Genomic DNA, 16386 nt, shown 5'->3' on the forward strand with positions numbered 1-16386 from the left:
TAGAATGAGAAAAGTTGTTAAAGGATATATAACATTAAACATCAAAACGAATGATACAAACAGAAAAAGTGGTGCTAATAGTTGAAAGAAAGAAAAGCAAAATAGCATCTAAATCGATTAAGAGAAAAAGTTAACAAACCTGCACATTGTGCACATTGTACTCTAGAACTTAAAGTATAATAATAAAAAATATATATATAAAAGTTAATAATATAAGTAATCATATCCATTAGTTATTGAGCATTTCTATATCTTCATAAGGCAAAGTGTCTGTCTAGAGCAATCACTGCTTAGGTACTTTCAGCTTACTAAATGATGGCTCCCTCCATACCCAATGATGTGTGTGCGTGTGTGTGTGTGTGTGTGTGTGTGTGTTTGTATGCATGCACAAATGCCTGTTGGGATTTCCTTTAGGATCTCTCTAAAACTCACATCTCTATGAGATAGGAATAATTCTTAATTTACCAATGAGAAAACCAAAGCTTACAGAGGTTAAATGACTTATATAACTAGTCAGTGGCAGAACTGAATCTGTCTACTCTGAGGCTAATGTTTCTTAACACAAGATTTCCACAAGAAGGTGAGGTTTAAGTATGACCTAAAAGGATGTGCATGACTTTATAGCAGAAGTTAGTGGCAGGGTAGAAGGCAGAAAAACCATAGGTTGGAATGTGAAATTGAGACAAAGCATGTACAGCAGGGTCAATGAGAAGCCAGAGAGAGGGGAAAGAAGGTAAAAGGAAACAATGATCAGTGAGACATAGAGAGTAAGCCAGAAGCCATATGTGGAAATTCATGAATACTGGAAAGAAGACTGTGAGCTTGAATCACAGGCAATAAGAGTCCCAGACAGTGTATGGTGGACAAGTAATCGAATGGCCTCAGTTTTAAGAAAATTAATTCACCCAGAAAATCCAGATGCATTGTGATGGAGACAGCACACACACACACATGAAAAATTTAGCAATTGAAGAATAACATTTATTCCAATGTGATCCAATCTCCACCACTCCAAACATTTAGAAACAAAGCACATGACCTTAATAACCTGCCGTGAAAAATCCTGCCTCACATGCATTTGTAGGAAAACCTCTTTTTCTTTCTTCAGTCATTTGTCATCAAATCAGTTTCTTACCTCCAATTTTAATTACTAATATATGTAATGCCACTCAAAAGAAAAAGAGAGACAGACAGATTTATCAAAGCAAAACAGCAGCTCCCTTCTGATCTCACATCATTTCTAAGGAATCAGGAGTCAATATGGGGTAAGGGACCCTGTACTAACAGAGTAAAACATGTTCAAAACTTCACCAACAACCTCTGAGAGAAGATGGAGTTTGGTCAGGAGCTGCTAATGGTTGAGATGGCTTAGCATGTATTACTTGATGGAGAGAGTACTGGAGAGCTTTCAATTAAGCTGCTGCAAAGCTCCCTTTCTGCTCAGGCTCTTTGACAGGTCATTGAATGGGGTTTTCAAGGACAAAGAATGAGCGGGCATGTCCCCATGGAAGCCAGTGCCCCTCTCAGAAGTGTTAATTCCAGTGATTTCTCCTGGAAAAGGAAATGGAGAAGTCAGGGATGGATAAGCCTGCTGACTAATCTATAAAACCAATGCCCCAGGACTGGCAGAAGTTGAAATCATTTACTTATAATTAGAGGTGCAACAGACTGTGGGACTTGAAATTTTACGATTCAACATTCTTGGTGAAAATGCTCAATAATAATTAAGAAAACAATCAAAATCTTGGGCAAGAAATATGTGAATTAATATCAGATATCCTCTTCTCAAGCAAGACCAGCATAGGTCTTCTGATAAGTCACCACTTTGAAAACTGAAGTTAAACATAATCAAAATCTTCCCTTCAGCACCCCACCATCACTAGGGCTGGGATTATGTAGGACAAGGGGATTTTAGGCTATGAGGGGACATAGAAAAGAAGGTCAGATTTCTCAAGACTTCCTGTCAGGGTTGACCTTTAATGAATATGCCCCCTGGGATTCTAGAGTCTGGAAAAGAATGTAATGACTTTATTTACAACAATAAGAATTAGAGACCAACAAGTCAATGCCATTAGGAAGCATTTTTGGATTTTTGGTCCAAAATTTTAATTGAAAACAAGAAAGTATGCTTATAATAAGATGGGAAAAATTACAATACGGATCTCATTATTTCAACTATAGATGCAGGTGAACAAGACTAGTATGGAATTTGCAAAGAAAAAGGAAAATAATTAATTTAGGTTTAAGACGTTACAAGGAAATGTTTTGTCCCTGGATCAGTGTCATTAAGTATTGCTGTTTTACTGACTTTACATTTTTTAAAGTGGATCAAAAACCATCAGTTGTATAAAATTGAATTATTATCAGTAGAATGGTTTTGAGAGAGCTGGGTGTGATCTTTAGCTAGTTCCCATAACAAAAATATGTTGCATAGAGTAAATTAACATGTGCAGAGGAATTAGTATAGTGTCTGGCACATAGTGGCCCATCTTGTAATTTTCATTGCCATTATTACTAGGTAATAATGTTCTAATGTTATTAGAACATGCACGTTGTGATTTGCCCAACTTTGCTACTGCTACATATGTTAAAAATATATGAAGGCATTTGCTGATTGCTGTGATGTCTGCTATTCTAGAGAGGTCCATCAGAGTCCTTCCACCTCTAAAGCAAGGGGACATTTGCATCCCTCATTTGATGTCTCCTGCAGGGGATTTTCCTATGTCAGAAAAGTCCTCAGTGAAAGGTCCAAATTCACCAGTAAATATCTTCCCAGCATTTCAAAATATTTCACTCTAAAGGTCAGATATTAAACAAAATTAAATATTTTGCTCTCTTCTACCCTCTCTAGAGGCCACTGAAGACTGCTGGCAACCAGGAGTCAGAGCACATTATCTGTTATTAGCACAGAGTTAGCTGTTGCTTGGGGCTGCGGGAGAGGAGGCTGAAGTCTATTCAATTATGTGTAAAGAAGCGCAATCCTGGATATTTCCAAGCCCTCCCATCATTTGGACACATGGTATTTGGGATGCTGTAAATGTAAATGTAATTCTGGTATCCTATGAAGAATCTGGGATGTAGGCTTCAAAATAGATGTATCATCAATCTTCCATTAATTCAACATAACTATGTTGATCATTACTGTATTTTACTGACCTTAAGACACAATTGTTGTGTGTGGTTGTTTCACATTTAAACACCTCTAAATGTAGATGTGCAAGGAATTCAGGCAGCAAATGGATATGCTTTTTATTGCCTGTGCATAACCATCAAAATTTTCAGAGTGAGCATCAGGGGCTTGAAGGAAAATCCCAGGGAAAAAAGTTGAGCCCTCTTGCAAAAAAACGATTCTTCACCAATACACTTGAAAGGCTATATAGGACAATATTGTTTGGGGACAAAACCCGGACAATGGAAACTCTGAGTCAAAGAATAATACAACAAGATTCAGTTTGAAGTGTTAAAATTTTAAGACACCTTAACCAATTTACTGTGTGTTATTATTTGCCTTTTTATATGTGTACAAGTATGTTACATGGCAAAACCTACATCTAAATAAGACTAAAAGGGCACTTTTAATAAATAAAAATAATTTAGTAAATAAAAGTTTTAGTTTAAAAACAAGAAAAACTGGTTTTAGAATATAGTTTAACCTATTATTCTCCTAAAGAATATAGTGTCTTCTCAGGCTTAAGGATAACACAAGTCAATGGTATGAAAAAGACAATGTATATATTACACTTGGCTAATTATCTAGTAGACATAAAACTAATCAATAAAGTGGTCTTCCTATAAATACTTCTACACCTGAACAAGGATGACTATGATTCGAAGGTCCAATGAGTCTTCTACCTATTTTGAAAGCAGCAACCTTCTCTCAAATGAATTTTGGTGCAACACAATTTGAAAATGCCACTAACAAAAATTCACTCAAAATACACTCACTCAGAAAAAAAGGTGTGAAGGGAGTGCATAAGAAAAATACCACATTTATTGAACATGTGCTAGATATTGTACTAGGCTTTTTGTGTGCATTAACTCATTCCATCCTGACAAGATATCTATGAAGCAGATATCAATATCCCTAAATTACAGTTTTAAAAAATGACCAGAAGATTTTTCTACTCGCTTCAAGTCACACAACTGGTGGAGTACAAATATGAGATTTGGATACCAAACACTATGTACCTTAATATATATTCTTGATACAGAGTATTGAATTATCCCTTAATCAATCTATGCCAAGAATCATCCCATACACAAACACACAAACTAAATTGCCAGCCTCATAAGCTAAGAGCAAGTAATAAAATGTTTATATAAGTCAAAAGAAATATTGAGCCAAGTAATCAGTTATTTCATCAGAGAATGCATTAAAACCTAAAATGATTGATGATGATGTAAAAGAAAGTGATCAGTGGACCTCGGGATCTTGACATTGTGTGATACATGAGCCAAACTTGTTATGGAAAGTCCTGAAATTGTTTAACCTGGTGTGAGTGAGGGGTGGGAGGTCATGCTTTTCCCATTGGTGACAAATTTTTCCATTTAACAGAGAAAAAAAGACTTCCGTATATGTTATATTCCATTCCCCAAAATGAGCTCAAGATTCTTGGGGAGGAAAACACATTTATAGTGCTGACTTAACCTCAGTGAGAATGCATTATTATTATAAGGTTCAGCACTTGACATAGGCTTTGTACAGAATGGCTCACATTTTAAATACCAGGCACAATTACTGCATCATGAGAAGCTGATCTAAACCACAAATTGGGGCATAATAGGCAGGAGAAAAAGGTTGAACAGACAAATCATTCAATAGGTGATTCTGTTTAAAAAGAAATATTTTTAAAATGCCCATCTTTGATGGCCACCAATGAGGAAACATTAAACTAGCAAAAAGAAAATGACTAATACACAACCAAGAGAAGTGTATAGTGAAGCTACATGTACATACTTTGTATAGAAGAGAATAAATCATACTCTTCATAAATATTTGCATTAGGGTCGAAACCTAAACTTTATAGTCCTAGGCTATCCCCAAGTCAATATACTACCTCTCCAGAATATTGAAGAATCTTCATTTACCAAAGAACATAGCCAGTAATTTACTGTGTATTAATTTACAATAGAAATAATAAACTTAGTATAATAAACTCAGTCTTAGTTCAGATTTGCATGAACTGAAAGAGAAGGTCAAATCTATGGGAGAGAAAAGTCAAGAAGGATATAGGAAGATATACATAATTGCAGTTAGCTGGGGAACAATTCAATAGGCATAGGGGAAAGATTTATGACACCAGGATATCATCCTATGGTTTCAGGCCTCAACAAACACATGCAGATTCCCTGGGAAAGAGTTAGAAAGAACCAGAGAGAGAAGCAGGAGGAGGTTAAGCAGGTCTGGCCCCAGAATCTCAGAGGGAAAGTGGAATGCTGACCAGAAAACATGTTTGGAAGCCCAATTGCAAGGTTTAGGTCAAAATAAGAGGTGTCATAGAAAGGGTTAGAGATGAGCCCACATATTGGCACCTGGGACAGAGGCAGCAAGACTCTCTCTGAATCCTTATGTGCCCTTAGCACAAAAAAGAGCACCTCGTTGGTCTGTAGTTGTAGTAGGGGTCTCAGCTGCTCCACATGAGAAACCTGTTGTTGGGCTGTTCTGAATTCAATTACCCCAGACATGGCCCCTTTTATTTCTGTACCTACCAGAATTTCACCTTCTGAATTTTTTATCCTCTGTTTATCTCTGTTGTGTTGAAGGAAGACCACACAATTCAAGAACACAGTGGGGGATTACCTACACCGTGCGCTTTCAAGGAGAAAACAGAATTTTTTACCTTAAAGTTCCTACCAATGAATATACTAGCATCTGGGATTTCCTACCTCTTTGGGTATTGTTACTTTCCAATGATCTTTTTATCTTTTATCTATCTATTGTTCTTCCTACTTTTCTTCCTATCATATCTATCTTAACTGAATAATGTCTAAGAAAGATGACCTCTTTAGCCAACATATATGATGTTTAGCTTCCACGGAAATAATTTATCACATGAGGAGAAATGGAAGACATGACAATGGCATTTTTAAAATAGAAGAGGAGGCAGTGTGAAGGCATGAGAATTCAGAATGAAGGGGGGGAAGAGAAAGAAAGAGAGAGAGAGAGAGATTGAGAGAGAGACTGATATAGTATTTGGGTTATTCAGAGGAGTTGCAGGAATCGTGAAAAAATAGTGCTGTGCCTGTCCTTTTGGGCATGACTACCATTTATCAAGTGACTATTACATTATGCTGCAGGCACCATGCCAACTGCTGTATATGTAGCATCTCATGGACAACTCTCTCATGTATGTGTGCTTTTATCCCTTTTAAAGATGAGCGATTGAGGATCCAAGAGCTTAACACAAGTTACGCAGCGAGAAGTAGAGGTAAGGTTCTAATCAAGTTCTATAGTTCTGTTCTCTCTGCTCCAAAACCCTTTCTCCTTCCGCTATTTTGGTCTCTCTCCAAAACATCCCCAAAGGCTCATTCTGCCTCATGAAATCACAGATGATAACTCTACAAGGAACTTAAATGATTCCTGCAGCCCAATACTCCCATTTTACAGACGGGTCAGGGAAGTAATGTGAGATGCTCACTAAGGCCCTCAGCTTGTCAAGGAACTAGGTCTACTCACTTCACTTCCACTTAACATTCTTCTAGGTGCTTACTGGATCTCAGAGGAAGAGTCAAGACCATAACCCAGGGACACTTGCAATGCCTACCCAGGTTTTTCATGTCACCCTTCTACTACTGCATGCACAGATGCAGCTGTCAACTTTAGGAACACTGCTTTCAAACCTTTTCGAAGTTATTTTTTTACCATCTTCTTTAATACTATACTCCTTTAGAGAGAAATATCACTTTCTAATACTTTTTAAATTTTTCTATTTTTATGAAGTGTTAGATAAATGTTGAATGTATGCAAAACAAACACACAGCAACAAGAATAGCCAAAGAAACCATTTGGCTTGCTTCTTCTGCTGTCGTCTTCTTGCCTTTAAGCTTGTGTTCTCCCTAACTTTTAAACTCAAAAGAATTTTTTGTCAACATTAAAAGTTTTCTGATAAGTATTCTGAATATGTTTACTGAGGAAAAATTTAAATAAAAATCATTGTTCAGATGTCACTCATATCAATCACTCTCTGCAACAGCTGTACAGTAGAAATAATTGCAAACTCATGCCCTGTACTTTAAGGATGTGAGAAGAAAAGAAAAACAAAATGGATTATTTTTAACAAGACTCTGCAAGTGTCCAGCATCTCCAAAGACTATCTTCTGCCCATCTATTTTTCCAGAAATATTAATGACTATTCCTCCAACGTTTTCCATTACGTAACACCCACATCCCTCATAATCATCCCCTCCTTTTATTACCATTAGCATTACCCACACAGTTCCACACTCAACTCATTTTTACCACCTCTATTGTTACACCAGACACCCAACCTGGCAGAAGGATCAGAAGGAAAGTTGACAAGATAGTAAAATCAACAAAGTGCAGACCTGAATCACATCAATGCCAGTGAGTAATGTGGGGCTGACTTGCTGTGACCCTGTGAAATTTACAAGTGTCTATATGGGTAGGTGTTCCCAGTAACATCTACCCACACAGACTTTGCCCATATAAATGTGAGGTCTGCTAGAAAAAAAAATTAACAAAGGGTAAGAATAAAATAACTAAGTGAGAGATGGATTTCATGGGACTCCGACTGTAAGTTTTTGTCCCAGATTGAGAAAGCTGACATTTAACCATCTAGAAGAATGCACTCAAAATCTTTGTTAACTTTTGGACCTTGTCACCTACTTAGAACTGTAGAACTTAAGGCTGCAAAAACTATCTTCTCTTACCACTAAGCCGTTTTCTTAGTAAGCCTTTTACCAATGTAGGAAAGAAAAGCTAACATCTTTTCTCTATCATCTCCATCTCCTCCATGCACCCAGGAGCCTCAGGAGCACCAGGCTCAAAACCCTTGTCCTTGTTCAACTACACTCTTTCCCTGCTAGTGGAGAAGCGCTCTGTGATACTTCACTAGGAATTTGGAAGAGTTAATATTAAACTTTGCATTGGGGGCCATTTTTATATTTTATTACACTGGCTGTAAGGTGATTTCAATAATCTAAGTCTATTGCTTCTCTAACAGGAACAAGTACCAGCTAGAGATTTTTCACATACGTGTCTAAATATAGTTTTACAATACCTCATTTTAAGAATGTAGAAATTGCTCAGAGAGCTTACTAAGGCTTGTATAAAGTTTTTTATCATCCACTTTTTGATGTTTACTGTAGACACAAAATTGTCCCACTCATACCTCTTTAAGGAAAGGCTTGCTGTCCAGCTGCAGAAAATACAGTCAGTGGAGGTGGACGGCGTCCAGCTGTCTGCTTCTTCAGAGCCTGCCTCACCTGAAGCAAGGCACCTTGCCTAAGGTCCCTCTTTTTGCCAAGGCAGATACATGCAGTAACTGAGCAAGGTTGGAAAATAAAGTTTTGACCATTTGGATCCACAGTGTTACACTCTCAGGGCTGGTACTCACTCCAGAGCTCTCTGCTGGATTGGCTTGGCTTTGTCAATTCTCTCTAGTAGTTTGACTTCTCCCTCTGTTTATCCTTCTCAACCTCTTTTCTTTCATAAGTGTTGATTTCTAATAAACATTTTGTATCCCACCCTTTATCTTGATGTCTGCTTCTGGATGCAAACTGCTGATACCAACACAACCATTTTACTCTTTTTCTTTACTCAGATAAAGCCTAGAATCTATAACGCAGTGTGGCCCTAGCAAGGAACATACAAACAGTACACAGGTGAATTATTATTGCATCCAGCTTCAGCTGGTACTACTCAAACCCCAGTGTCCCAGATCTCTGGACACAGGCTTCTACCCTAGAGAGTACATGTCTGCTTTCACTCCCAGGTTTTTCTCTCAGGTTTTCAGTGACTCTGAGCTACTGAATTCCCAGCTTCTAAACTCTTGATTTTCTCATAAATGAGTCCCCAATATCTACTCAATATGATATTTATAATGCTCATTACCTGTTTTTCAGGGGTCCCCAAATAAAATGTCTGCTGGGGATTGTCCAATAAAATAAATTATTAAAGTTGTTTAGGTATAAGACAAGAGACCCCAACCTGCTTGTTTCGCAATTGAGCATTACACCTCACTACCTCTCCATATGCCGTGGTGTGAGGGATACTGCCTTGAGTGATCTAACCCTTGCCCACCTCTCATATATTCCCCCTCCCCTCATTCAATCTTCTGCAGCCACAGTGATCTTCCTGTTTCTCAAATAAGTCAAGCACATTCCAGTTTCTATGCCTGTGTGTTTGCTGTTCTTTCTTCCTGCAATGTACTTAACCCTCCTATTTCTCATCCATCAGATATTATCTTAAATATCACCCCTTCTGGGAGCATTATCCAACCACCCTATGTAAAATAGGCCACATACCTCCATACGCTGCTATTTTTTATGACAGGTCTATTACTTTATTTCATCAGACTTCTTCTAATTCACGATTAATGAATGTGTTTGTTTACTTAATTTCTGTCTCCTCCACTAGACTATAAGTTCCAGAAGGGCAGACAACATTTTTCTTATGCAACATATATTTCTAGGGCCTAGCACAGTGTCTTGTCCATAATTTTTGAATCAGTGAATTTATTCCTGCTCAAACTCCCTTCTCCAGGCTCCCCATCAAACTTCATGGTGGCACCGCCATGTCCAATCCACTCTCCCAGGGAATGCAATTCCATCGTCTTCAAATTGTTGTATTCTGGCCCAGCACAGTGGCTCACACCTGTAATCCCAGCACTTTGGGAGGCCAAGGTGGGTGGATCACCAGAGGTCAGGAGCTTGAGACCAGCCTGGCAAACATGGCAAAATCCCGCCTCTACTAAAAATATAAAAATTAGCTGGTGTGATGGCTTGTGCCTGTAGTTTCAGCTACTTGGGAGGCTGAGGCAGGAGAATCACTTGAACCTGAGAGGTGCAGGTTGCAGTGAGCTGAGATTGTGCCAGTGCACTCCAGCATGGGCTACGGAGTGAGACTCCATCAAAATAAAATAAAATAAAATAAAGTTATGTTTAGCCGCTTTCTCTCCATCTTTTATGCTACCACCTTAATTCAGACACTCGTCATTCCACACTTACACAACTACCACACTCTCCTCATGGGTCTCCCTGGTTCTCCTTTCTTCCTCTCTATCCTCTGTACCCTGTCAAAGTGACCTTTCCAATATGCAAATCACTCCTAGTCTTAAAACCTTTCAATGGCTCCCTGTTGCCTACAGAATAAAGTTCAAACTTCTTAGCATGACATGTGAGATACTCTGAGATCTTACCTTGTCTTCCCCTCTGGCTTGATTTCTCCATCTTCTCCAGCGGCCCCCACTGCACAACCTCTGAACATTTTCCCCTGCCTCTAATCATCCTGTCCATTCTACCTTCTAAATACCTCCCTTCAATTTATTCACTGACCTGCATCTCTACAGCTACCAATCTCATTCACCCCTGGCCTGAGCAACCCACACATCCTTCTCTCTAACTGCACACTGCTGTGTCCAGTCCATTTTCTAAACATCAGCAAGTGAGCTTTTAATCATAGAAATGCTTGCCTCCTCTCCTCCTGGCCTAAAATCCCTCCATGGAAACAAGTTGAGGTTTCTGCAAGATCTGGCCTGTAGGTATTTCTTTACCCTCTCCCAGCACCACTCCCTGCACTCAGACCCACTGTCAAGCACTTTCTTATCCCAGAGTTTGTGTTCCTACTTACCTGGGGACACTTTCTCCCTATGGCTTACTATCCCTTTCATTTCATAGCTCAATATTCTTTCCTAGGCAAGGCCAAGATTCCCTGAGTGACGTCTCATAGCTCATTGGATTTTTCTTCAAGGCCTTTATCCACCCATATAAGTGTGGGATATGGGTGAAAGAACAAGTTTGCAGAAAAGATACAGTGAATTATGGACCATGAGTTCGGGAAAGAAGGGTAGGACTGCGTCGCTGGCTGCAGTATTCTGGAGGCTGGTCTTTGGGCTGTGATCACTCTTCATTCTAAAGGAGGTACTGCTGAGATGTTAAAACCATTGTTTTACTTTTTCATAATTTTCAGGGCTTTGGTGTATCAGAAGGAGGCTGTAGCATATGATCAACTCAAAGTCTGGAAATAATTTCAATCATGGGATTTTTGTTTATTATTATGTTTTAATTTTTGATATAAGCTTCATCTTTTTTTAATCTGTTAAACAAAGGAATTTCTCATCAACTCCCCTAACCTTCCTAAACTACATATGCAATTATTCATTCATCCATTCATTTGCTCAGAAAACACTCATTAGATGCCACATCCTTTCCTAGTTGTTGGAAAGGAGTCACAGGCATGAAGTAGAGTGAGGTCTTAAGACCCTTTGACTGTGGAGTGTGGAAGAAAAAACTACAATTGCATCCTGGGTTTTAGAAAGATCGTGAAGCAAAAGAAGGTCAGAATTTTCCAGTCCAGAGTAACAGATAACCAGTAAGAATCACATCTGAAGTGGAAGGTTGGGCAGGGACCAAATATCCAGGTCCCAGGGGTAGAATCATTCAGCTGGAGAGAGCCTCTTGGAGCTATTTCAGCCATGCCAATGATTTTAAAAAGTGTCTCCTTTAGGGCTTGGCAGGTTCCTATAAAGAAAAGCATGAGATCAAGGTCCACTAGATAGTGGCATTTGCTTCCAGGTGAGTATCATATTCCCAGCCTGATTAAAGTCAATAGCCAAGAATATTGAGACTAGGCCACTGCTGAAGGAAAATATGGGAAAGGATTAGGTAAGGTGTTAGGACCCCTGCAAAGGTCTAGCTATGACAAAGGACTAGCCTACTAGACAGCAACATGGGGCAGATTCCCAGACCTGTGGACTTAACCAGCAGGACCTTTGTCTACCAGCAATGCCTAAGACTTACCCCAAACTGGACTGATTATCATCCATCAATTCCAAGTTCCAAATAGCAAACTGAGACTGTGAATGAGACACTTAGCTTTGAGCCGAATGGGCTCCAGCCGAGGCAAACTGAGGCTGCAATGGAATGGCAGGGAAAATGGAGTTGGCACTGTCTATGTCCTACTGTCCCCTGGCTTTCTTGTCTTCCTGCATAACCCCTGGGGGGAACCATCATCCCTGTGAATCACGGGGCTGCTGCCTCCATTTGTTAAGGCCTTCGTTCTGTCCTTTTTAAATATCACTGTTAATACCCCCTCGTGACACTGTCTTGGTCCTTTACCCTTTTATCCAGATATTATTAAAAACTATTGTCAAAAATGGAATTCTCTAAAGATCTCATAAAAGTCAGCTGTGAGGCCCTGTTACAGAGGAGCGCGGCCTTGTGACTAGGAGCCACTTCCCGAGTCGTGATTTCTGCATCCCACAGTTTTGCTTTTTCAACCCCATGATAGAAAAGCCTAGAGCTTACTCCCCTCACACCCTCACACTGCATCCTTCCTGGGCTTGAAACCATTCTTAAAAGAACTGCACTATTTTTTTTTTTAACATTCTATATGCTTCACACTTACTCGTTTCATATTTTTATACATAAAATCCTCCCACTCTCTCTCCATCACAACCTCACTACCTCCCTCCACAAAATACTTTTTTTTTTTTTAACAGACATTTTCAGAACATCAGGGATATATCCTGCCCTGGGATGCTGATGAATGGCCGCTTTAAGACTCACTGAGACACTTTGGTGCACGGCTCAGAGTGCTCTGAAGGAGTAGTTTTAATTCAGCAGTTTTGATGTGGAAGCAAAAATATATAAAATGGCATTATATTGCTGGGTAATGTGTTGTAGCACTATGAATTTAATCCACAGCAGCCAGGCACACAAAAGCTTACATTTATTATTTTTTCTTTCTTTAATCTTTTTTTTTAAAAAAAGAAAACAACTTTTATTTTAGATTTAGGGGTACATGTGCAGCTTTGTTATACAAGTAACTCATGTTACAGGGGTTTGACGAACAGATTATTTTATCACCGAGGTACTAAGCCTAGTACCCAATAGTTCTTTTTTTCTGCTCCTCTTCCTCCTCCCACCCTACAAATTAAATCTGATTCTAACGTGGTTAAGAGAAACAGTTTCTATTATATTCAGTGATCCTTTCATCTCCCCAAAGTCACGAAGTAAGAATAATAATAATTATTTTAGCTATTTCATTATAGTCAGTTAAACATGGTTAACACATAGCACACTGTGGTTCAGACACCATCTAAGTGTTTCATCTTTACAAACTCACTTTTCACCTCAACCACCCTAGGAGTTACCATTATTTTTACCCATTTTATAGATGAAGATGTTGAGGCACAAAGATCTTCAGTCCAAGCTCACAGAGTACACACAGAAGCTGACATTTGAACCCAGAAGGCTTGTTCTAGAATATCTGCTCTTAATAACTATGGAAAATAACAATCCTAGCACTTAGAGGTCACCTAGCAAAATGGAGAAAGGCCTTGTCCTTAATCCAATGTGTCTGCCATAGTTAACCTTAGTCTCCTGATCCATGGGGTGGCTGCTGTGCTTGAATGTTCTTATGGCCTCTGGCCCCTCATGGGTCCTCCCCCTGATCAAAGGCTCAACACAGGGGTTTGGCCCACTTCCCTCAAGGCTGTGGGTGTCCAGGTTTCCTTGCATCCCATTGAAATCCTCCATCCAGGGCACCATGTGCAGTTAGGGTATGGATCTCCCACTCACATGAAAACCCCTCATTACCAATGTTTTCCTAATTCACATACCAGTCCTTTAAACTGAAGCTTCAGTTCCTCCCATCCTCACCTCTAAGCACCAGTCTCCAGATTCCTTCCCTTTGAGACAATCCAAAACAATCTCCTCAAGTAAACCTGAAGCACGAACTCTGCTTATTTCCTTTCTGCTAGTTGTGAATTTGGGACTGGAGGGTAATGAGCTCTCTGTTTGCTGCAATGGGATGGAGAAAATACATGATTTATTCAGCAATGGTGAATGCACAGTACTTTTTCCTCATCTTTAACACTGATGTACATGGAACAGTCCTCTTCGAGCCATAGCATACCCCTGACCCCATCACTGAGCTCTTCCTCTACCTCTCACCTCCATCCTATGCCCATCCCATCCTCACCGAGCCTCCAATCACCCCCCACTGCCCCTTTTTTCCTCGGTTCTTCCCCAGCCCTCATATGCACCCTGCACATTTGGGAGAACTGCAAGCATAGCTCCTGCCTTTTGAAAACTGAAATAAAGGAAAATGATTAAATAATATTTATTCTACATTTTTGATAAAAAAATTTTTTCAGGTAACCAAATAGTTGGGGATAAGAAATACCCCTTTAGAGAAGTTTTACAGATTATAAATGAAGGCAGGATGAGAAAATATCACCACTTTTGTGAACCCTAATGAATTAATCCATCTAAACAATGATCAGGAATGGCTGCCAAAACCACCAAAAAGAGAAAAGGAGATATAAGAAGGCATTCCCTGCTTCCTAACCAAACCAAACCATTCCCTGCTTCTTGACCAAACGAAACCAAAACAAAAAAGCACACAAAAACCCTGAATCTTACAAGTCTGTAAATCTATGCTGTTCTACAGGAGACCCCAGCCACATGCAGCTATTGGTCACTTGAAATGTGGTTAATTCTGAGAGATGCTGTAAGTGTAAAATTCATACTGGATTTCTAAGATTTCATACAAAAAACCCCAAACCTCAATGATTATCATGATTGTATGTTAAAATGCTCACACTTTGGATATATTGAGTTAAATGAATTGTGTTATTTGTAAAATTGCATCTCTAAACCACATCTCACACCTCCCTTCTGTCTGATCCTGAAGCCTAATTCTGCTTCAGAAGCATGGGTAAGAATCAAAGCAAGAAACATTATTACTTAGGATTGGGGTAAAACTTGGCAGCAAGGTGAAGTTCAACATCAGGGTCAGGTTTGATTTTTTTTTTAAGTTAGGAATGTATCAGGTTCTTTCAAAATATCCATGCTTCAGAGTGGGGATAGACAAATACCATGTGCTCATAGGCCTTATGATGGGTAGGAAGAAGTGGAGACAAAAGGAGAAATCTTGAGGAAAGGCCCCAGGCAACATGAAAAAGCCGATAGGAATGGTTTGGACTAGCCAGGCATGGTGGTTCACACCTGTAATCCCAGCACTTTGGAAGGCCGAGGCGGGCTGATCACTTGAGGTCAGGAGTTTGAGAACAGCTTGGCCAACATGGTGAAACCCCATCTCTACTAAAAATACAAAAAAATTAGTCTGGCATAGTGGCGGGCGCCTGTAATCCCAGCTACTTGGGAGCCTGAGGCAATGGTTGAACCTGGGAGGCAGAGGTTGCAGTGAGCCAAGATTGCGCCACTGTACTCCAGCCTGGGTGACAGAGGAAGACTCTGCCTCAATAAAAAAATAAAATAAAATAAGGAATGGTTTAAGCTGTTCAGGCTGCACTGGCATCTGGTCTTCCTGGTAGCCCTAACTAGCTTTGGCCTTGATTTTATCTTCCCACCTCCTCAGCTGTGTTCTGCATCTCTGTCTCATCCTCACCCCTGCCATAGGGAATGTTGCTTGGATATTTGTTTCAAGACAATTGTAAAATTCAGAAGGGACCACAGAGAATTATTGCTTCATTTGAACATCACAGAGCTAGCTCAGTAGTGGGGTGCAGCTGTCTAGGATTTGACTTTTAGTAGGGATAGTGTGATGGATGTGCTGCAGCATCACCCAGCCTGGCTCTGGATTCCTTCTCCATCACTTACCAGAGTTTCTAAATAAAGTCCTGCATCAGCTTGCCCAGACTTGTGCAGAAGGTAAGTGACAATGACACCTACATAGTGCCTCCTATAGTCCCTGGCTCAGAGGTGGTTTTACTGTGATGCTCATGAAAATTCAGGTTCAGGGACCCTCATAGTACAGTGACTCCTTCCTAGTGCCCTTGGGAAGGATTTTTAGCAAATTTTATTAATGATATAGTATCTTTCTCAGAGGGCTTTTAAAATGTGCTTAAGCTCAACTCCCCCACTCATAAAAAATGGATCTGAAACTACTTTGGCCCATTTGAGTTCTTAATAAATATATCTGTGTATTCTGTCCTTGCTCGTACCTGCCTCTTTATCTTTCTATATTACTCTTTAGTGCACTTCTGCAGGGTCCAAATGTACCTACGATTCCCATTTTCTATCTTCCCTAGGTCCTGTTTATGTAAGTGGTAGGCAGAATAATGGACTCTCAAAGATGTCTACACCCTAATCCCCAGAAACTGAATATGTCAACTTACGTGACAAAAGAGACACTGCAGATATGATTAAGTTAAGAATCTTAAGATGGGGTGGATTATT

At 39.6% G+C, this 16386-nt stretch overlaps 1 long non-coding RNA gene across 1 annotated transcript; it reads left to right on the forward strand.

Annotated features, from left to right (window-relative positions):
- The first annotated feature begins 2906 nt into the window (after positions 1-2906).
- Positions 2907-7564, forward strand: LOC105372616 (uncharacterized). The gene is made up of 4 exons (XR_936716.3): positions 2907-3019; positions 5764-5894; positions 6375-6428; positions 7480-7564. It is a non-coding gene; the product is annotated as an uncharacterized LOC105372616 (long non-coding RNA).
- Positions 7565-16386: the final 8822 nt, after the last annotated feature.

The sequence above is a fragment of the Homo sapiens genome, chromosome 20 (assembly GCF_000001405.40).
Source record: "Homo sapiens chromosome 20, GRCh38.p14 Primary Assembly".
In the NCBI taxonomy this organism is placed as follows: Eukaryota; Metazoa; Chordata; class Mammalia; order Primates; family Hominidae; genus Homo; species Homo sapiens.